This window comes from Homo sapiens, chromosome 11 (genome assembly GCF_000001405.40).
Source record: "Homo sapiens chromosome 11, GRCh38.p14 Primary Assembly".
In the NCBI taxonomy this organism is placed as follows: domain Eukaryota; kingdom Metazoa; phylum Chordata; class Mammalia; order Primates; family Hominidae; genus Homo; species Homo sapiens.
The window spans coordinates 73951026-73971680 of record NC_000011.10 but is presented as its reverse complement, the minus strand read 5'-3'; the positions used below and the strand labels follow the sequence as shown (position 1 = coordinate 73971680).

Genomic DNA, 20655 nt, shown 5'->3' with positions numbered 1-20655 from the left:
AGCTCAGACTCTAGAAGGGAACCTCCCTGGCATGGAAGGGGAGCATAACACACGTGTTGACTATGAGGAGGCAAGTGTGGTCTACGCAGGCCCAGTTGGACCTGGATGCTGGAACTCCAGGCCTTGAGGGCAGCAGTGCTGTTACCCCTTCCTGAATCTAAGCAGTGAGTTCACCAAGCACTTTCACATCAATGTTCTCTGTCCTCACAACATGCCCGTGAGGGGGGTTATGGGCTCTGCTTTACTGACAAGACAGGTGTGGTGACTGGTCCCAGGAGAAAGTGGCAGGGCTGGGGTCAGAACTCAGGTTTCCTGCCTCCCAGATCACCCTGCCCAGGACCCTATCACAGACCAGGGGATTGAGGCCAGAGAGGTAGAACCAAAGCTGTTTCCAGTGCACATGTGTTCTTTATGCTGCTTCTCTACGCAGGGCGAGTCTGTGGGAAGTGACCTTCAAGGTTTTTGGGGGTTTTTTTTGTTTTTTGTTTGAGACAGAGTCTTGCTCTGTCACCCAGGCTGGAGTGCAGTGGCGCAGTCTCGGCTCACTGCAACCTCCACCTCCTGGATTCAAGTGATTCGCCTGCCTCAGCCTGCCGAGTAGCTGGGATTACAGGCCCTCGCCACCATGCCCAGCTAATTTTTGTATTTTTAGTAGAAACGGGTTTTCACCATGTTGGCCAGGCTAGTCTTGAACTCCTGACCTCAGGTGATCCACCTGCCTCGGCCTCCCAAAGTGCTGGGATTACAAGCATAAGCCACCACACCCGGCCTTTCTAGTTTTTTTGAGATGGAATTTCACTTTCGCCCAGGCTGGAGTGCAGTGGTGCAATCTCAGCTCACTGTAACTCTGCCTCCCAGGTTCAAGCAATTCTCCTGCCTCAACCTTTGGAGTAGCTGGGATTACAGGTGCCCACCATCACACCTGGCTAATTTTTGTATTTAGTAGAGACGAGGTTTCACTATGTTGGCCATGCTGGTCTCGAACTCCTGACCTCAAGTGATCCGCCCACCTTGGCCTCCCAAAGTCCAGGCATGAGCCACCGCACCCAGCCACCTTCAAGGTTCTGATGACAGCTTTGCCACTGAGGCCTGAGTGACCTGCAATGAATGTTTTCTTTTGTGCTTTAGTTTTCCTGTCTCTAACGTGACCATATCATGCTCCAGAGATTGTCTCTTCTGTCATGAAAAGCCAGAGCAGAGCTAGAGACCCTCAGAGGCCACACAGCCCTGCCCCACTCTATCAAAGTGGAAGCACAGAGGATCTGAACCCTTACCTGCCCTTTCCCACAAAGCCAGGACAGGGACTCAGGCACTCAGCTCCTTAGGCCTCTTTCTTCCCTGTGCCCCACAAGAAGGGCTAATATGAAGCTCCTCTCCAATGTACTCTCGTGGGTGTAGCTGGAGGACAGGAAATAGATCTTTATTATGTCAGTTTAAGCCCTGCGCCATCCCACCCTTGTATCATATCTGTGCAGCAGGCTCCCCTGCACACCCTGAGGCTGTGGCGGGTAGGGGTGGGGTGAGGCCCGGCTAGCCTCCTCTCACCCCTGCTCCAGCCCACCACAGTCATGTCAGCAATGCCTGGCGCAGCATCTGCTTCTTCTGGGGTGTGAGGCGGGTGGGGAACTGGATGTCGAAGAAGATGAAGAGATCCCCTTTCTTAGTGGGGTCCTCCGGCAATGGCATCCCCTCCCCTGGCACCTTCTTGAAGTATTTGGGGCTGAAATAGGATGAAAGAAAGGAGCATAGAGGGCATCCCAGAGCAGCACCTCAGCAGGTCCCTGTCATATAACCCCTACTCACATAACCCCAGGAAGGGGACAGTCACTGCAGTCTTCACCTGGAGTGGTTCTTAGCCAGAACTGGTTGGGAAAGGAGCTCCCTGAAAACCTGTTTACACTGAGTCTCTGATGGAGGATTCCAGAAACTTTGTTTAAGACATGGGAAACGGGAAGTAAAGGTGAGCAAACCCTGGGGTGAGGGCGAGGGTGCTGGGCTGCCAGGCAAACCTCCTCACGGGCAGAGGGCCTTTCTTGGAAAAGGACTTAGGATATGCAACTCAGAACTCTAATGAGAAGTTTGCAGGGCATGGAGGCTACAGGGTTGCCCAACAATGGGGGCCTCTAGCCTCTGCAGTGGCTTTGTGTGGATTAGAAAAAGATGTTCCTTTTGCCAGGTGATTGCAGCCCACAGCTTGGCCAGTGTGGGTTCAGTTTTGGTCCTCTCTATCCCCTCAGCAGGGAACCCTTCTGCTGGGGGCAGCCTGTACAACTCTACTGGGCAGACCTGTCACACTACCACCTAAATCCCAGGCTAGCCCTTCTCTTGGCTACTGGGGCCCAAGGCAGATGGACTCACTGGATGATGTCATTGATGGGGATGTTGAGCAGACGGTCATCTAGGGTCCTCACCTCCACAGTGCAGCAGGTGAGAGCCTAGGGAGGGTCAGGGCCAAAGGTGGGGCTGAGGAGGGTCACCATGGCTCTCCTATTTAGAAGGCACCTTAGGAACCTGTCCAGTGCCAGACTGTGAGTTGGGCACAAGGGAGACGAGGCTGTTCAATAACTAATAGGTGAATGACCCATGCAATTTTCTGCACTGGCAGGAAAGATGGATGGATCTGGCAGGTAAGATGGATGTTGTATAAATGTAATGATGGAGACAGAATAAAAGCGTTTGTGGGAGCCAAGGAGAGGCCCCTAAACCATTCAGGAGTGGGGCAGGAAGTGGTAGCAGTGGTGGTAGCTATTGATGAGGACCCTATAGGGTCAGGTGAATAGACAGCATTCCAGGGAGAGGGCCCAGCAGAAATGAGAACGGAGGTGTGACAATGCGCCACACAGGCAGGGTGCTATGCGGCGAAGGGGCGGGAGTGCAGGGGAAGGAGTAAGCAGGGAGCAGATCGCAGAGGGCCTCCAGTGGCACAAAGATGTTTAGACAGGAGTGTGGCAGGGTCTGATGAGTGTGTGGCAGGATCCCTAAGGAGAAGAGCCTGGAGGAGATGAGAAGTGGGGAGGAAGGCCTGCTGCGCAGATCTGGTGTACAGATCCAGGCGGTGCAGATGAGCAGACGGGACCAAGTGGATGGTGATTTAGAGGGTGGAATCCACAGGGCTTAGTGACTGATGGCAGGTGGTTGTGGGAGGGGAGGCCAAGTCTAGGCCGGGGCAGGCAGGGCTCACTCTGATCTCCTCCCCGCTGCTCCTGCACTTTGCCCACTCACCTTGCCAAGAGGGATGGGGTTCACGAAGAAGAGGTTGTCATTCTCCCTGCGGAAGCGAGGGTGTAGCTTCTCCTTTACGATGAAAATGATGTCTGCTGGGATGATGTTGGGGCCCTGGGCAGGGGACGCCAAAAGGTGACAAGGACTAGTTGGCCGTGTGACCTTGGCCAAGTTCCTGCCTCTACTTGTCTCCATGTCTTCATCTGTACAATGGGGAGATGAGAGCAGGTTTTCTGGAAGGGCCTTTTCAGTTTGGCCCCCATAGCCCAGATGGATTAGAAGCCCGAGAAGCTTACCCAAATGAATCCCCCCAGAATTACTTCTGTACTGAGCATGCCCAAAATAGACACACTCAGCTGGAGGGGCGGAGAGGCTTCCTCAGACGGCAGGCAGGTGGAACACTAAGCTGGGCGTCAGGCAACTGCCCGTATGTCTCTGTCTTGCTAGTAACTCCAGGCATGACACCCCTGTCCCAAACTTCATTAAGTCACCAAAACTCTGCTGAGGTCTCTTCTGGGCGCTGGGGACAGAGGAATCAGACTGGCCCCTAACACTGACAGTGAATCCTCAGCACGCTCAAGACATGATAAAGGGAGGCCCAGAGGCTGGGGCTCAGAGGAGGCTGCCCAGAGCGGGGAACACTGGAGCTGGGTTTTGAAGCGTGTTTATTCGAAGTAGATGTTTTATTTGTATTTTGTCTGTTTGTTTTGTTTTTAGACAGGATCTCGCTCTGTTGCCCAGGCTGAAGTGCAGTGGCATGATCATACTTCACTGCAGCCTTGACCTCCTCGGCTCAAAAGATCCTCCTGCCTCAGTCTCCTGAGTATCTGGGACCACAGGCACACACTACCATGCCCAGCTAAATTTTTTATTTTTAGTAGAGACAAGGTCTCGCTATGTTGCCCAGACTGGTCTCAAACTTCTGAGCTCAAGTGATTCTCCTGCCTTGGCCTCCCAAAGTGCTGAGGCTATAAGTGTGAGCCACCAGGCCAGACCGGAGGTAGATGTTTCATAGGTGAGAAAGGGGGCAAAAAGTGCAGGCAAAGGAATGTGTCTTCCCTGGCTCTGAATGCCTCTTCTCAGGACTTAAGGATTCAGCACGCCTTGGACAATAAATTTATGTTTTTATTTAAATAGTATTTAATTTAAAATTATTATTAATAGGCCAGGCACGGTGGCTCACACCTTTAATCCCAGGCACTTTGGGAGGCCGAGGCAGGCGTATCACCTGAGGTCAGGATTTCGAGGCCAGTCTGGCCAACACGGAGAAACCCTATCTCTATAAAAATACAAAAATTAGCTGGGTGGCTGGGCGCAGTGGCTCACGCCTGTAATCCCAGCACTTTGGGAGGCCGAGACAGGTGGATCACCTGAGGTCAGGAGTTCAAGACCAGCCTGGCCAACATGGTGAAACCCCGTCTCTACTAAAAATACAAAAATTAGTCGGGTGTGGTGGTGCATGCCTGCAATCCCAGCTACTGGGGAAGCTGAGGCAGCAGAATAACTTGAACCCGGGAGGCGGAGTTTGCAGTGAGCTGAGATCGCACCACTGCCTTCCAGCCTGGGTAACAGAGCGAGACTCTGTCTCAAAAAAAAAAAAAAAAAAAAAAAAATTAGCTGGGCGTGGTGGCACATGCCTGTAGTCCCAGCTACTCAGGAGGCTGGGGCAGGATAATTGCTTGAATCCAGGAGGTGGAGGCTGCAATGAGCTGAAATCATGCCACCTCACTCCAGCCTGGGCGACAGTGAGACTCCATCTCAAAATAAAAATAAATAAATAAATAAATACATAAATAAATAAAATTATTATGATTAAATGGTTTCTGAGTAGCTCCTGTAATTGGGCTTTATTCTGAGAAGCACTGAAGAAAATCAGGAAAACACTGGAGTTCAGACTGGGATCTCCTTTCAGCTCCCATGTTCTTGCCCTGGGCAAGTCCCTTTCTTCTCTGGGCCCCCATTTCCCACTCTGTAAAATGGGGACAGTCCCTGGGCTGCCTGTTCACAGAAGCACTGTAAGGCTAAGGCTCTGTTCCTTGGAAGGAACATTAGGGATCCCATCTCACCCACTCTGCAGACTGGGCTCTCTACAGACCAAGGCTCACAGGGGCAGGAAAAAGTATTGCCTCCTTTCCCTTCCTTTCCTCCTCAGTCTTCCCACCGCCTGAGCTCAGTGACTGACCTGAGTCAGCTTCTTCCCCCCTCACCTGGTCCCCTTCCTTCTCAAAGGTGATGCGTGTGCCCTGCCTCCAACCGGGCTTCACATCAATGGTCAGGATCTTGTCCTTGATGGTGGAGGAGTACCCATCCTCGTTCAGCACCTATAGCAACATATCAGGTGTGGGGAGGTCTGCTTAGGACTTCCATGAGTACAGTCGAGATTTGCTCAGATTTTCATGAACACTCAGGTGACCTTTGCACACGTGAAAGATGCTCTATGGGATTTGTACTTGGGCTCAATCCTCTAGCAATGGGAAGAGCCTCCAGCAATGGGGAGAGCCTGCCCTGAGCCACTCCCACTCCCATCCTGTTGCCATGACAACCAAGAACTTATGATTCCAGTATGGCAGAGGATGCCATGAGACTGGGGCTGGGGGCTGAGATGCCAAGCAGTCACCATTAGTTGATCAAACACACAGCTCCAGCCCTGGCCACTAACAGATACATGGTGAAAATGTACTCCATTCCTCTCTCCAAATCCCAGAGGCCCGGCCCTGAGCCTCCAGCAAGTCTCTTAATCCCAAAGAGAGAAATGAAAGTCAACATATCTAAGCCTCCCCCAGTGCATTCCCCACTGGGGATCCTTCCACTCCCCAGTCGCATGTCCAGATGGGTTCCATCTGTGGAAAGCATGGCCGCATCGGCATCTCCTCTGCTGGGCAAAGGTGGAGGGGGCTTGCTCTTATGCCTGGCACAGGGCTGGGCCATGGGACAGGGCCAAGCCAAGGACTAGACATGAGGCACTGAGGGTCTTCCTCAACCCGTCACCTTGGGGACTATCTCCCAGCCCACCCTCCATGCCCACTGTTCTTTCTTATGCACGAGGCATGCACCCTGATGAAATCCTGGGAATATGGTCTGGTAAAGCCCAGAAGGAAGAATTCAGAAGAGACTCCTCCCATTCAGAGCCTTTCCAGTTCCCACGGGGATGGGGCTGAACTGAAAGAAAGGAAGGGAAAGAGCCTGTCCCAGTTGGGAAGGCTGCAGAGGGCACTCCTGCACTAGGAAAGAACCGGGCTAATGTCTTCAACTGTCCCTTCCGAATTTCAGATTCCGGAATTCTAACATCCTAGGTCTCTGAATCTAAGGTTCCATAATTCCATCAGAGACCATCCCTGAGTCCTCCCACCCAGGTAAGGGAGGAGGCAGCTGCTAGGCTGCAGGAGATAGGTGGCTCCCGGGAGGAGCAAGCTGAGTACTCACCCTTCTGGAGATCTTAATTTTTTTGGTGCAGCCAAAGAATAAGTCCTCCAGGGACAGGTAGAGATCCCGTTCGACTTGGGGGTCCTGCTTCTTGACCCCTCGGCCCTGGAGCCCCCCAAAGTTCAAATCTACCTCACTTCCTTCTGCATCAAAAAACTCTGCAGGAGGTAGGGAGAGGAGTAAGAGAAATTGTATCCAGAGACCCAGACATGCGCGCGCGCGCACACACACACACACACACACACACACACACACACACACACACACACAGCCTCCCTATCCAGATATGCTCCCCAACCTCTTCAGTGTCCTGTGTAACACCCAGCATCCTATAACCACCTCTCAGACTGGCCAAGCCAAGGAGCTGTCTTCAACTGCAGATGCAGTGATTATCATCCTTTGCCATTTCCCACTGCTTCACCTCCCCTTGGGACATTCCCCCCCCACCCCGCCCAACGCTTCCCCGTCTCTCTTATTCACAACTCGGATACCGTAACTCTGGCTGTCTCAGGAAAGGGAGGCACTCCCTCTGGTGGCCGCGCTCAGGAGTGCCAGAAGAGACTGCTGGTAGTCCTCGGCAGGAAGGTGAGAGCCTGCCAGTCCTCTCTACTCTTCCCCAGACTCCATAACCCTTCGCTGTCCAGCCCAGCCCAAGATTGCTAAAGACCCCAGACTCAAGTTTCTATAAAGCTGTCAGCTGAGATGGGGGAGGGAAAGGGTTGGTCCCTAACAATTTGAGAGGCCACCGGCATTCCCCAAACTCCTCTTTCCTCAATTTCTTTTGCCCCTGCCCAGCTCTGCACCCATAACCCCTCTTGCTGCCCCCATCCTTCCTCCCAGTGCAAAGACAGCCCCATCCTGGCTCTGCCCCTGATGTGCTGTGTGATCCGTGGGCTTCAGTGTCTTGGTCTGTGGGATGGGGTAATAATGCCTGACCTGCCTTCCACCATTAAGATGAAGAGCTAAAACTTGCTGAGAGCTTACTATGCGTCAGGTGCTATTTTTGGAACCTTACATTATTATTTCATTGGTCCAGGGAGCCCAAACAAAACGCTTAAGGTCCCGTAGCTAGTAAGCAGTAGAGTTGGGATCTGAACCACAGGACAATATGACTACGGAACCTGTGTCCTTAACCACTGTGCCACGCCGCATCGCTAGATGTGGAAGCCCCTCATAAGCTGTAAACTCGAGGGGCGCTATGGTTAAGAGTTTTCATATTCTGCCTCTCATGGTTAATGCCATGGAATGAACTTCACAGGCTAGAATGGTGAAATGACCTTAGGCAGGGATGGTGAGGTGACTACACTATGTCCCTCTAAGATGCGATGGGCAATCAAGAGGCCTGAATCTTCTGGTCCTCCTGTTGCATTGCTGAATTCACTTGTTCACCCAGACCTACAGTGTACCAGGCAGTAAACACCCCAATAGCCAGTCCACAGGAAGCCCAGCCCCTCAACCCTGCAGGGAGATGGGACTCAGGAACCCTTGGGGTGGAGCACTATGGCAGTATAGCTTCTGGGCACTGCCTGAGGAAGCCCAGACCCTGAGCCTGACCTTTCCCAATGAGCGATGCCCTGTAGACTCACTTGGCTCCTTTGAACTGAGACAGGTAGGGAGGCAAGGTCCACTGTATGGCATTTTTGGACTGCAAAGCCCCTTTCATTTTTTTTCTTTTTTCTTTTTTTTTTTTGAGACAGAGTCTCAATCTTGTTGCCCAGGCTGGAGTGCAATGGCGCAATCTCGGCTCACCACAACCTCCACCTCCTCGGTTCAAGCGATTCTCCTACCTCAGCCTCCTAAGTGGCTGGGATTGCAGGCATGCACCACTGTGCCTGGCTTTGTTTTTTTGTTTTTGTTTGTTTGTTTGTTTTTAGTAGAGATGGGTTTTCTCCATGGTGGTCAGGCTGGTCTTGAACTGCCGACCTCAAGTGATCCGCCGGCCTCAGCCTCCTGAAGTGCTGGGATTACAGGTGTGAGCCACCATGCCCGGCCGATTGCAAAGCCCCTTTTCATAAACATTATCTCATCTGATAATAGCCCTTGAGCCTTAATGATTATTTTGGCTATGTAATGGTTAGGAAGCTGGGGTTTCAGAGGGGTGAAGAAATTTTCCCAGGATCACACGGTTCACAAATGGCAGCGCATGGATTGGAAACAGGCCCGCTACTCGAAGCCCCTTGCTGTTTTCAGTCTCACGTGGAGCTTATAAACTCAGCTTCTTCTGGCAGACACGTGAGGGTGGCACAAGGTGGGAGCAATCTCTGAGGCAGAGGGGCTGTAACCCACATATTGGCACAGAAAAGAGAAGGAAAGAACTTATGAAGTTCAGAAAGGCTGAAGTATAGTCAGGGAGAAGGGGCAAGAGGTGTAGGAGAAAACAGGCAGTGAAAAATCTAGGCCTTATGTGGGTATAACTGGAGCCAGGAAGTCAGGTGTGAAGGTCTTTTCACTGCCTTTGCAAGATGATTCTGAGCCTCAGAAATCAACTCTTGGTCAGTTTGTCTCAGACCTGGAATCACGCACCCATCCACCTACTCAGCCATCCTTCCGCCTACCCAGCCATCCATCCGCCTACCCAGCCATCCATTCATTTACCCAGCCATCCGTCCGCCTACCCACCCACCCACCCACCATGTGCTCGTCTATTCATTCATACACCCACTCATCCATTCATCCATCTGTCCTTCCTTCATTTCATGCATCCACCCATCCACACTCACTCTTGTCAGATGCTAGGCTGGGATTTGGCTACGCTGAGATCAATCAGACCTGGAGGATCTCCCAGTCTGGTAGGGAGACAAGCATATTAGGGAAACTATAAATAGCACAAGAACTGTTTTAACTGCAAAAGAGACAAGAGGTATCTTCCCACAAATACAATATTAGCAAAAGACTGGGAAGAAACTACCCATCAATAAGACAGTAATTAAAAATAATAAATTAGACCTGGCATGGTGGCTCATGCCTATAATCCCAGCACTTTGGGAGGATGACGCAGGCGGATCACCTGAGGTCAGGAGTTCAAAACCAGCCTGGCCAGTCTTGAGTGGAAACCCCATCTCTACTCAAAATACAAAAATTAGCCAGGCATTCTGGTGCCCACCTGTAATCCCAGCTACTCGGGTGGCTGAGGCAGGAGAATCGCTTGAACCCAGGAGGCAGAGGTTGCAGTGAGCCAAGATTGTGCCACTGCACTCCAGCCTGGGCAACAGAGCAAGACTTTAATAATAATAAATTATAAAACATCCATGGTAGCCATGCTGGCACTTGGCATCTGCTCTGTCCTCCTTCTTGCATACCTTCCCTGCTAGAGAATCTGTAGAGCCAAAAGGAACATCCCCCAGACTCTCTTGCAGCTAAGGTTCTGGCTTTGAATTCTGTTCATCAGGTAGTTCCTGAGCTGCTTGGGAGGCAGGAAGAAGGCGGCAGGCATCTCTCCGTGGCTCTGTCTGGAGCTGGTGGGCACTGTTGTGGAGACACTAGGTTTTTCTGCAGCAGCCTTTGTGGGTCCACCCACGAGTTTCATGCCTGTCAGAGGCAAGTGAGGCAGCAGTTGCAGCTACATTCATGGTGTGCTCTGGAATGCAACGGTGACATTTCCTGATTCCTTCTTTGTGACTGTGGCAGAGACAGCAGCTCTCCTTGTGGGCCAGTTTAGAGGTGGTGTTCTTGGAAGATTTCCTACAGGGCCAGCTTACAGCCTTCTCACCCAGGCCTTTCAATGATTATTTCTTTATTTATGTATTTTATTTTTTTGAGACAAGGTCTCAATCTGTCACCCAGGCTGGAGTGCAGTGGCCCGATCTTGGCTCACTGCAGCCTCAACCTCCTGGGCTCAGGCGATTCTCCCACCTCAGCCTCCTGAGTAGCTGGAACTACAGATACACACCACCATTCCTGGCACATTTTTTTGTAGAGATGGGGTTTGGCTATGTTGCCCAGGTTGGCACCGAATTCCTACACTCAAGCAATCCAGCCACCTCAGCCTCCCAAAGTGCTGGGATTATAGGAGTGAGCCACCACACCTGGCCTCGGTGATTTTTTAAAGCACCTAATTCCCTGTTTTGAACCCCTTTCTGCTTCACGTGGCTAAAACAGTATTTGCTTCTGCAATGGATCCCTAATAGACATCTGTACAATGAAATCTTATGCAGATCTGTACATAGTATATAGATTTGCATGTAAGTGAATAAAGTAGATCTATATATAGTATAACATATAAGATAATCTCCAAGATATATTAAGTGAAAAAAAAAATCATTGTGTAAAATTTGGCCCTATTTCCTTAATAAAAGGCTTCTGTAAAAATAAATACAGCTCATACAAGCATGGCAAGTTTCTGGAAGGATACATAAACTGTTTACTAATAGCTGCTTCCCTAGTAGCTGCTTCTGAGGAAGAAAATGGAGGGCTCGGCCAGACACGGTGGCTCATGCCTGTAATCCCAGCACTTTGGGAGGCCGAGGTGGGCAGATCACCTGAGGTCAGGAGTTCAAGACCAGCCTGGCCAACATGGCGAAACCCTGTCTCTACTCTATGAAAAATACAAAAATTAGCTGGGCGTGGTGACTCACACCTGTAATCCCAGCACTTTGGGAGGCAGAGGTGGGCAGATCAGCTGAGGTCAGGAGTTCAAGACCAGCCTGGCAGACATGGTGAAACCACGTCTCTACTAAAAAATATAAAATTATTAGCTGGGTGTGGTGGTGGGTGCCTGTAATCCCAGCTACTCAGGAGGCTGAGGCAGGGAGAACTGCTTGAACCCCGGAGGCGGAGGTTGCAGTGAGCAGAGATCATGCCACTGCACTCCAGCCTGGGTGACAGAACAGGACTCCATCTAAAAAATAAAAATAAAAAAGAAAGAAAGAAAAAGAAAATGGAGGGCTGGAATGTATTTCTTTTTCAATGAATTCTGTTTTACTTTTTCTTTTGCAATGTGTTTTATATATATTTATTAAAGTAAAAATAGGCCGGGCACGGTGGCTCATGCCTGTAATCCTAGCACTTTGGGAGGCCAAGGCCTTAGGCAGATTGCCTGAGCTCAGGAGTTCGAAACCAGCCTGGGCAACATGGTGAAACCTCGTCTCTACTAAAAATATAAAAAAATTAACTGGGTGTGGCAGCGTGCGCCTGTAGTCCCAGCTACTTGGGAGGCTGAGGGAGGAGAATCATTTGAACCCGGGAGGCAGAGGTTGCAGTAAGCCATGATCCCACTACTGCACTCCAGCCTGGGAAACAGAGTGAGTCTCCATCTCCAAAAAAAATAAGTAAATAAAATAAAATAATAAAGTAAAAATAAAAACAAAACTACTCAACGAAAACATCACTTATAGCAGTGTCCTTTCTCTATAAGGCAAGGTGGGGGAGGAAGACCTCTTACCACTGAAGGGGTTGTTTCCACCAAAGAACTCGTGGAACACCTTTTCAGGTTTGCCATGGAAGACGTAACCAGTTGTCCATGGGGTCTGGGATCCAAACTCCAAAGGAATCCCACCCTTCAGGCCCTCTTCTCCAAACTTGTCGTAGATGCCTCTCTTCATGGCTGTGGATGGGCATCACCTTAAGGAGGTGTCCAACTTTGGGGGCTGAGATAGGTGGAGGGGCTGGGAAGCAGGCGGATATGGAGAAAGGGAAGGGGCAGAAGCAGCCTGATCCCAAAGTGCCTGCTGTCTGGCAGTCTTTGGAATGAGACCCTAGGAGTCAGGCGTTCCATTTCATTCTGGGAGGACCTAGGTATGGCTCCTGTAGCCCAGAAGAGAGACGGGAAAGCCTTGAGTTTGCTGGGGGCAGGGTGAGAGACTGGGGGAATAACTGAGAGACTGAGGCTCAGGCAATGGCCCTGGGATTTGGCCTAACTCAGTCATCATAGCCACTGTCTTATCTGGGGTAAACGGAATCGTAGAACCTTGACATTTTAGAAGCTAAGAATTCTAGAGCCTCCAAATTTTAAAACTTCGAAATCCTAGAGTCTAAGGACCCTGAAGTCCTGAAAACTCGGGGCTGTAGAAACCTTAGTGATCTTCTAGCTGCACTTCCGCAGGAACCAGGATTAGTCTCCAGGACAATCCCCCAGGGAAAGCCCCGCAGGACGGCCCTGGGTGCCGGGGCGGGGATCACACTTTCTTCACTCTGCTGGTTTCCCTAGGAGACAGATTTCCTAATTACTCCTGGCCTTTCTCTGCCTCTTCCTACTGTTGCTGGCCCTGGGGAAATGGACACTAAGCCACTGGGAAGGACCTCTGGGAGGGACAGGTGGGCACGCCTGCCCAGCTTCAGCTTTCTTCCCCGTAGCTGCAAGCCCCTTACTCTGTTTCTCCCGGGGAAGGTCCCGTCCCCGCAGGGCATAGGGATGCGTGGGGAATGTGCCCCAGCTCCCACACTGCCTGCCAGGATGAGCGAGTCAGTGTAATCCTGGGCTCCACACCCCACGTCCTCCACCTCAGCTTGCTTCTACTGAGAAAGGCGGGTCCGTATTCTGTCTTCTCTGTGTGTCTAGATTCTAGGCAGGGAAGAAGGATGCTTCCTCGTTATTGGGCCCCCTCAGAAAACCCAACAGTCTAGAGACTTAAGGAATGATCCTAATCAAGCGGGGTGCTCAGCCCCACACCTACTCACGGTCACTCAGCACGTCGTAGGCCTCTGCTATTTGCCTGAAAATCTCTGCTGAAGACGGCTCATTTGACTTCAACGGGTGGTGCTTAAGGGCGAGTCTGCGGTACCTGGAAGAGGGAGAATTAATACAAGTCTTATCAGCTGGTCTGTTTCTGAGGGCGGACCAGAGTTCAGAGCCGGCACTCTGTTCACTCCTGCCTAGCTATAAATCCGGGGTGACTTCACCAGCTGTGGTGGCTGCGGAGGTGCACTGCTCAGCTCTTGAAGAGTAGCTGGTGCGGGGAGCACAGTTGACCGACAGTTCCAGCAGCTGCCCCCCTGGGCATCTGAGCTGAAGCAACTGCCCCTGAGCTGCCCTCAATGCTTACGTGTGGTGGGGATACCAGGGCTGGCCCATTCCTGCAAGACACAGGACTCCTCCAACGGGCAAGCTTTGCGCGAGGGCTCCCCAGAGGCTGGCTGAGCTGCTCCCCGGGCCTCGCTGCACTCTCCCTCCTTCCTCCCCTCCCTGTCTCCACTCGCAGGTGTCAGGCTGTACTGTGCGCGCCCCTGCTCCCTTCCCTTCATACTTCACGGTTTCTCCAGGTGCATTTCCTGCTCATCTAATCCTGTTTGCTTCTTAGAGGACCGGAGCAGACACACAGGCATCTTGGGAGGATGAGCTACAATTGGGTGTGCAGCGGGCATGGCTGAGGCGCTCAGTGCCCGTCCGGTTCCTGTGCCGCCCCCACCCTCTCTCTGCTCATTTTTTCCCCACTTCTGTTCCTGCCCAGTCCTCTGCTATTTGCCTGAAAATCTCTGCTGAAGACGGCTCATTTGACTTCAACGGGTGGTTAAAGGGCGAGTCTGCGGCACCTGGAGGAGGGAGGGTTGATACAAGTCGTACCAGCTGGCCTGTTTCTGAAGGGCAGACATCGCAGCGTCTGAGAATATGTATCGGCAGTGACCCGGGGTGGGGGAGAGATGGAGCGGATTGGGTGGTTTGTGGAGAGCTTAATAAAGGGACCATTCGCCCAGGTGCTGGAGGAGCGGAGGGAGACTGCCAGGGACAGCGGAGTGCAGTTTTCCCAGGCCAGGAACCCCGAGGGGTCTGTTGGAGTGTGTGGACAGGGCCCTCAGCGGAGCTGTGACCTTCTGTCAAGCGACACAGCTGACTGAAGAGACCCCATAGGAGGAGAACTGGGGAATAAAGCCGCAGCCCTGCCCTTCTCCCTCCCCATCTCCCCGCCTGATGCTCCCCTGGGCCGGCTCCATGTGGAAGGCTGAGGGCAAGGAAGCCTCCCGGAGCGCAGCAGGGCAGGAAGGGTGGGGAGTGGGTCTGGAGGGCTGCACGGGAAGCATCCAGCACAGACGCCTGTCATTCAGCCCAGGCGTGACCCCCCACCTTGCCTCCACCCGCTTTTCTAGTGCCCACACCCGCCTCGCCGCCATCCCCAGAGTTCCACAGCTTCTCTTCTTATTCCAGAGGCAGGCTTCTGTCTCTCACAGCTAAATCTCCATCCCGAACCAGACCACTTCCCTGAGCCAAAGACTACCTCCAAGTGCCTACTTGCCATCTCCTCTCCAAGGTATCATAAATTCACTGAGCCCAGACATATACTTTTTTTTTTTTTTTTTTTTGAGATGGAGTTTCTCTCTTGTTGCCCAAGCTGGAGTGCAATGGCACAATCTCTACTCACTACAACCTCTGCTTCCTGGGTTCAAGCGATTCTCCTGCCTCAGCCTCCCAAGTAGCTGGGATTACAGGCGCGAGCCACCACGCCTGGCTAATTTTTGTATTTTTAGTAGAGGCAGGGTTTCACCATGTTGGCCAGGCTGGTCTTGAACTACTGACCTCAGGTGATCCGCCCACCACAGCCTCCCAAAATGCTAGGATTACAGGCATGAGCCACAGCGCCCAGCCTTCTGAAATACTTTCTGACCAGGTCCCTCTCCTGGCATAACCCTTCACTGGTTTCCCCATTGTCTCCAGCATAAAACTCGGATGTCTCATTCTAAGATCCAAGCCCCTGCTTCTCCCTCTGGCCTCACTCACTGTTCTCTCTTGCTGCTCCCTTGACCTCTCCTGCATGACTCACCCCTCTGCAGCTCCTCCCAGCTTCTCTGGGCAATTTTTAATTCATCCTTCAACTTTCGACTCAGGTGCCAAATCCTCCAGGGCACCTTCCCTGATTGTTAGCCTCCTTTCTAGGTTAGACTCCCCTTCCCAAGTCCCCAGCACCTTTGATCCTTGTCCTCAGCAGTGCTGTGTTCCAGGTGTATATTGACTCCTCTGTCTAATAGACTGGGAGGTCCTGGAGTTGCTGCATCCAGTTCTAGCCCCAGTGCTGGGCACTGAGCAGGAGTGAGTAAATAAATGATACATGCTAAGCATCCTGCAGGACAGTCCATCTCACTGTGGCATGGCTCTGACTTTTAGGCAATGCCTCCTCTTACTGCGGACAGGAAGCTGGATCTGTGGTCCTGCAACTGCCCCTCCATCCATAAGGGTCCTGGCTGTGCCCTGGGGACCTTACAGAGAGAATATCTACCTTCAGAGACTTGAAGACAATTGTCACAGCCTTCCAAACCAGCCTTTCTCAATTATAAAGGTCACAGTCAGTTATTTTTATTTATTTATTTAGAGATAGAGTCTCACTCTGTCACCTAGGCTGGAGTGCAGTGGCGCGATCTGGGCTCACTGCATTGTCCGCCTCCCAGGTTCAAGTAGCTGGAACTACAGGTGCCCACCACCACACCTGGCTAATTTTTGTATTTTTAGTAGAGACGGGTTTTTGCCGTGTTGGCCATGCTGGTCTCAAACTCCTGGCCTCAAGTGATCTGCCCATCTCAGTCTCCTGTAATCCCAGCAATTTGGGAGGCCGAGGCAGGCAGATCACTTGAGATCAGGAGTTCGAGACCAGGCTGGCCAACATGGTGAAACCCCGTCTCTACTAAAAATAAAAAAATTAGCCGGGCACAGTGGCACACACCTGTAGTCCCAGCTACTCAGGGGGCTGAGGCAGAAGAATCACTTGAACCTAGAAGGTGGAGGTTGCAGTGAGCAGAGATCCTGCCACTGCACTCCAGCCTGGGTGGCAGAGAGAGACTCCGTTTCAAAAAAAAAAAAAAAAAAAGTAACAAGGTTTGAGAAAGGTTTAGTTTTTCATATAAATTTGAGTGGTTTCAAAATTATCCCTGCAATAACATCACTCTCATTCACCTGCTTTCCTGAGTGGGAGAGAAAGGGGTGAAATCACAGCTTGAACGCTGCAATTATGAATCCTGGGCAATTATAAACTATCATGATGTTTTTCTTCCTTATATAAGTTTAGCTCTTTTTTTTTTTGATCAATATCTAGGTGATCCCATGAGCAAGCATGTCATACATGTGACTTAGAGTTATTGCAGGGGAGAAGGGTTAAGGACTGCTTTTTGAAACCTACATAGTTCTTTTAATCACTCTATTTATTTTTATTTATTATTTATTTTTGAAATGGAGTTTTGCTCTTGTTGCTCAGGCTGGAGTACAATGACTCAATCTTGGTTCACTGCAACCTCCACCTCCCAGGTTCAAACGATTCTTCTGCCTCAGCCTCCCGCGTAGCTGGGATTACAGGTACCCGTCACCACGCCTGGCTAATTTTTTTTAGTAGAGACAGGGTTTTACCTTGTTGGCCAGGCTGGTCTTGAACTTCCGACCTCAGGAGATCCTCCTGCCTCGTCCTCCCAAAGTGCTGGGATTACAGGCATGAGCCACCGTGCCCAGCCTTATTTATTTATTTATTTATTTATTTATTTTATTTTTTTTTTTTGAGACGGAGTCTCACTCTGTTGCCCAGGCTGGAGTGCAGTGGCGCGATCTCGGCTCACTGCAAATTCCGCCTCCCAGGTTCACGCCATTCTCCTGCCTCACCCTCCCGAGTAGCTGGGACTACAGGCACCTGCTACCACGCCCGGCTATTTTTTTGTATTTTTAGTAGAGACGGGGTTTCACCATGTTATCCAGGATGGTCTTGATCTCCTGAACTCGTGATCCGCCCGCCTCAGCCTCCCAAAGTGCTGGGATTACAGGTGTGAGCCACTGCGCCCGGCCTACTTTTTTTTATTTATTTTTTTGAGACGAAGTCTCACTCTGTCACCCAGGCTGGAGTGCAATGGCACGATCTCGGCTCACTGCAACCTCTGCCTCCTGGGTTCAAGCAATTCTCCTGTCTCAGCCTCCCCAGTAGCTGGGATTACAGGCATGCGCCACTACACCTGGCTAATTTTTTGTATTTTTAATAGAGAAGTGGTTTCACCAAGTTGGCCAGGCTGGTCTCAAACTCCTGACCTCAAGTGGTCCACCTGCCTCAGCCTCCCAAAGTGCTAGGATTACAGGTGTGAGCCACTGTGTCCAGCCATTATTATTATTATTATTATTATTATTATTATTATTATTATTTTATTATTATTTTTGAGACAGAGTCTCGCTCTGTCGCCCAGGCTGGAGTGCAGTGGCGCAATCTCGCTCACTGTAAGCTCCACCTCCCGGGTTCACGCCATTCTCCTGCCTCAGCCTCCCGAGTAGCTGGGACTACAGGTGCCCGGCTAATTTTTTGTATTTTTTAGTAGAGACGGGGTTTCAGTGTGTTAGCCAGGATGGTCTTGAGGGAAGAGAGCGACCATCTCATATTGTTTTATACTCAGTACCTGTTTTAAAAAAAAGCAACAAGGAAGTAAAACCAAAGACAGGCAGCCCAGCGCCAGGCCTGAAACCAGGCCTGGGCCTGCCTGGCCTAAACCCAGTAGTTAAAAATCAACTCATAATTTAGAAACCGATGTTATTCATAGATTCCAGACATTGTATAGAAGAACATTGTGAAACTCCCTGCCCTGTTCTGTTTCTCTCTGACTACCAGTGCATGAAACCCGTCACGTACCCCTTGTTTGCTCAAATCAATCACGACCCTTTCATGTGAAATCTTTAGTGTTGTGAGCCCTTAAAAGGGACAGAAATTGTACACTCGGGGAGCTCGGATTTTAAGGCAGTAGCTGGCCGATGCTCCCAGCTGAATAAAGCTCTTCCTTCTACAACTCGGTGTCTGAGAGGTTTTTTCTGCGGCTCGTCCTGCTACAGTCTCGATCTCCTGACCTCGTGATCCGCCTACCTCGGCCTCCCAAAGTGCTGGGATTACAGGCATGAGCCACGGTGCCCGGCCCAGCCATTTTTATTTTTTTGAGACAGGTGTTGCTCTGTTGCCCAGACTGGAGTGCAGTGGTGCAATCATAGCTCAATGCAGCCTCTACCTTCTGGGCTCAAGCAATCCTCCCACCTCAGCCTCCCAAGTAGCTGGGACTACAGGTGTGTGCCATCATGCCCAGCTAATTTTTAAATTTTCTGTAGAGACAGGGTCTCCCTATGATGCCCAGGCTGCCCTCTCAAACTCCTGGGCCCAAGGGATCCTCCTGCTTTGGCCTCCTAAAGTGCTCAGATTACAGGCATGAAACACCATGCCAGGCCTTAATCACTCTTTATATGACATGGTTTCACATGCAAATGATTGCTGGACACATGCATTATCTCATCTAATCCTATTTCAATCTCACAGCAACCTTTATTATGATGATGATTTTTAGACATGGGAAAACTTCGGCTCAAAGAGGTTAAGTAATTTGCCCAGGTCACGCAGCTAGCAGGTAAGTGAATCTGGATTCTGATCCAGCCCTTTCCAGTGCTTAAGCTGTGCTTATCTTTCTGCACGCCCACTGCCCTTCCTCCTGATTACCTTTCCCTGGATGGGTCCTTCTGGTCAATGAGATGCTCCGAAGAGTGGGTGACATCATACACTGTCCTGAATTGTTCTCAGATCCTTTCATGAGTTTGTGTCTTTTTTCTCCAACACCGCAGACTCTCCACTTATGCCACTGATCCCCTACAGGACCTGGCCCAGGAATAGGCCCATGACTGGCAACTCTGGGAGGCCTGATATCTGAACACTGGCTCCACCATTTACTAGTGCACTTGTGGGATAATAATGGCACTTAATTCTCAGGGCTGTTGTGAGGGTTAAACAGTGATGGAAAGTTCTCAGAACAGCACCTACACACTCAAAACATACACCTATTGTCACTGCCTAACTTAATTGATTGAGTTATCCTGGACTCCTCTTTTCTTCACCCTCCAGTGATCCACTTAATTACCAAGTCCATTCCCTCCCCTTTCTCTGGCCTCATCTTTTGCCTTGATTACCACGAACAGCCTCCTAAAGGGTCTCTCTCCTTCCAAGATAACTTCCACAGCCCCCCATACTTCCTCTTCTGTAACACTCATCACAGTTGTGGTGACTTATTCAACATCTATTCAGCAACAAAATCTAGCTGCATGAGGTAAGGGAGTGTCGATGTCGGATTCCGACATTTATCTCCAGCTGCTACCACTGCAGCAGGAGTGAAGTACCCTCTCAACCCTTGTGGTAGACGCTCAATAAATATTTGTTAAAAAAAAAAACATGTTTTTGGCCAGGTGCGGTGACTCACACCTATAATCCCAGCACTTGGGAAGGCTGAGGCGGGTGGATCACCAGAGGTCGGGAATTTGAGACCAGCCTGACCAAAAAGGAGAAACCCCATCTCTACTAAAAATACAAAATTAGCTGGGCATGGTGGTGCATGCCTGTAATCCCAGCTACTTGGGAAGCTGAGGCAGAAGAATCGCTTGAACCCAGGAGGTGGAGGTTGCGGTGAGCCGAGATCACGCCATTGCACTCCAGCCTGGGCAACAAGACCAAGACTCCGTCTCAAAACAAAAAACAAAAACATGTTTTCAGAAAAATGTACTGACTCCTGTTGTAGGCTTTCTTAGGAACGAGCCAGAACGTCCTTAAGATCCGATGGAAGTATTCAGGAATGTAGTTTAGTCAATGCTGAAAACCTCCATCATGGCCAGAATTGAATTTAAAACATCCATCTGGCCTGGCCACTCCCTTGTTCACAAGCCTCTGGTTCTCCATAATATTCAAGATAAAGTTCAAATGGCTCCTTTGTCCCCACTTCATTGCTGGGAAAAGCAAGGCACCCAGGAGAGGATATAGGGCATGGAGCATAAAGGGAGATGGGTTGGGAGCAGATTGAGGAACTAAAGAGTTCAAATTTCCAACCTGGGCCCTGACCCAGACCAAAGCCAGGATACAGGTATGCAAGAAGTGAAAGGAGGAACAAGGTTTACCTTGTCTGCGCTAAGCTGTGCAGGAAAGCTCGTTTTGGAAGAGAAGAGGGCAGGGCCTGCCCCAGCACACCCCTAAGGCCTGGCTCCCACCCCAACTTACGCCTGCTTGATCTGGGCATCCTCTGAATTGCGAGTGATCCCGAGCACAGAGTAATAATCCTGGCCCATGGCTGGCTAGCTGGCAGTCAGGCCCTGGATAGTCCTCAGACTCT

General features: G+C 50.8%; 1 protein-coding gene across 17 annotated transcripts, besides 3 other annotated features; it reads right to left on the bottom strand.

Moving 5' to 3' along the window:
- Positions 1236 to 1395: an enhancer, noted in NCBI's record as "active region_5246". NCBI's record gives its function as "activates an Ori minimal core promoter by ATAC-STARR-seq in GM12878 lymphoblastoid cells {active_cell/tissue: GM12878}" and the evidence as "EXISTENCE:reporter gene assay evidence [ECO:0000049][PMID:35858748]".
- Positions 1400 to 20655, bottom strand: DNAJB13 (DnaJ heat shock protein family (Hsp40) member B13). 17 transcript variants are annotated; one of them, XM_024448508.2, is made up of 11 exons: positions 20544 to 20655; positions 19005 to 19273; positions 13261 to 13364; positions 12952 to 13144; positions 12656 to 12786; positions 12026 to 12187; positions 6646 to 6803; positions 5430 to 5543; positions 3223 to 3336; positions 2359 to 2435; positions 1400 to 1720 (listed from the first exon to the last, which is right to left on the bottom strand). In XM_024448508.2, the coding sequence occupies exons 6-11, from the start codon at positions 12183 to 12185 to the stop codon at positions 1567 to 1569; spliced, it is 777 nt and encodes a 258-aa protein (XP_024304276.1). In that variant the 5' UTR covers positions 12186 to 12187; positions 12656 to 12786; positions 12952 to 13144; positions 13261 to 13364; positions 19005 to 19273; positions 20544 to 20655; the 3' UTR covers positions 1400 to 1566. The 17 variants fall into 17 exon arrangements, 16 of the variants coding, with proteins under 16 accessions (XP_024304276.1, XP_011543306.1, XP_024304277.1 ...); XM_011545004.4 differs by lacking the exons at positions 12656 to 12786; positions 12952 to 13144 and adding an exon at positions 15479 to 15768; XM_024448509.2 differs by lacking the exon at positions 12656 to 12786.
- Positions 6913 to 7002: a silencer, noted in NCBI's record as "silent region_3750". NCBI's record gives its function as "represses an Ori minimal core promoter by ATAC-STARR-seq in GM12878 lymphoblastoid cells {active_cell/tissue: GM12878}" and the evidence as "EXISTENCE:reporter gene assay evidence [ECO:0000049][PMID:35858748]".
- Positions 7023 to 7132: a silencer, noted in NCBI's record as "silent region_3749". NCBI's record gives its function as "represses an Ori minimal core promoter by ATAC-STARR-seq in GM12878 lymphoblastoid cells {active_cell/tissue: GM12878}" and the evidence as "EXISTENCE:reporter gene assay evidence [ECO:0000049][PMID:35858748]".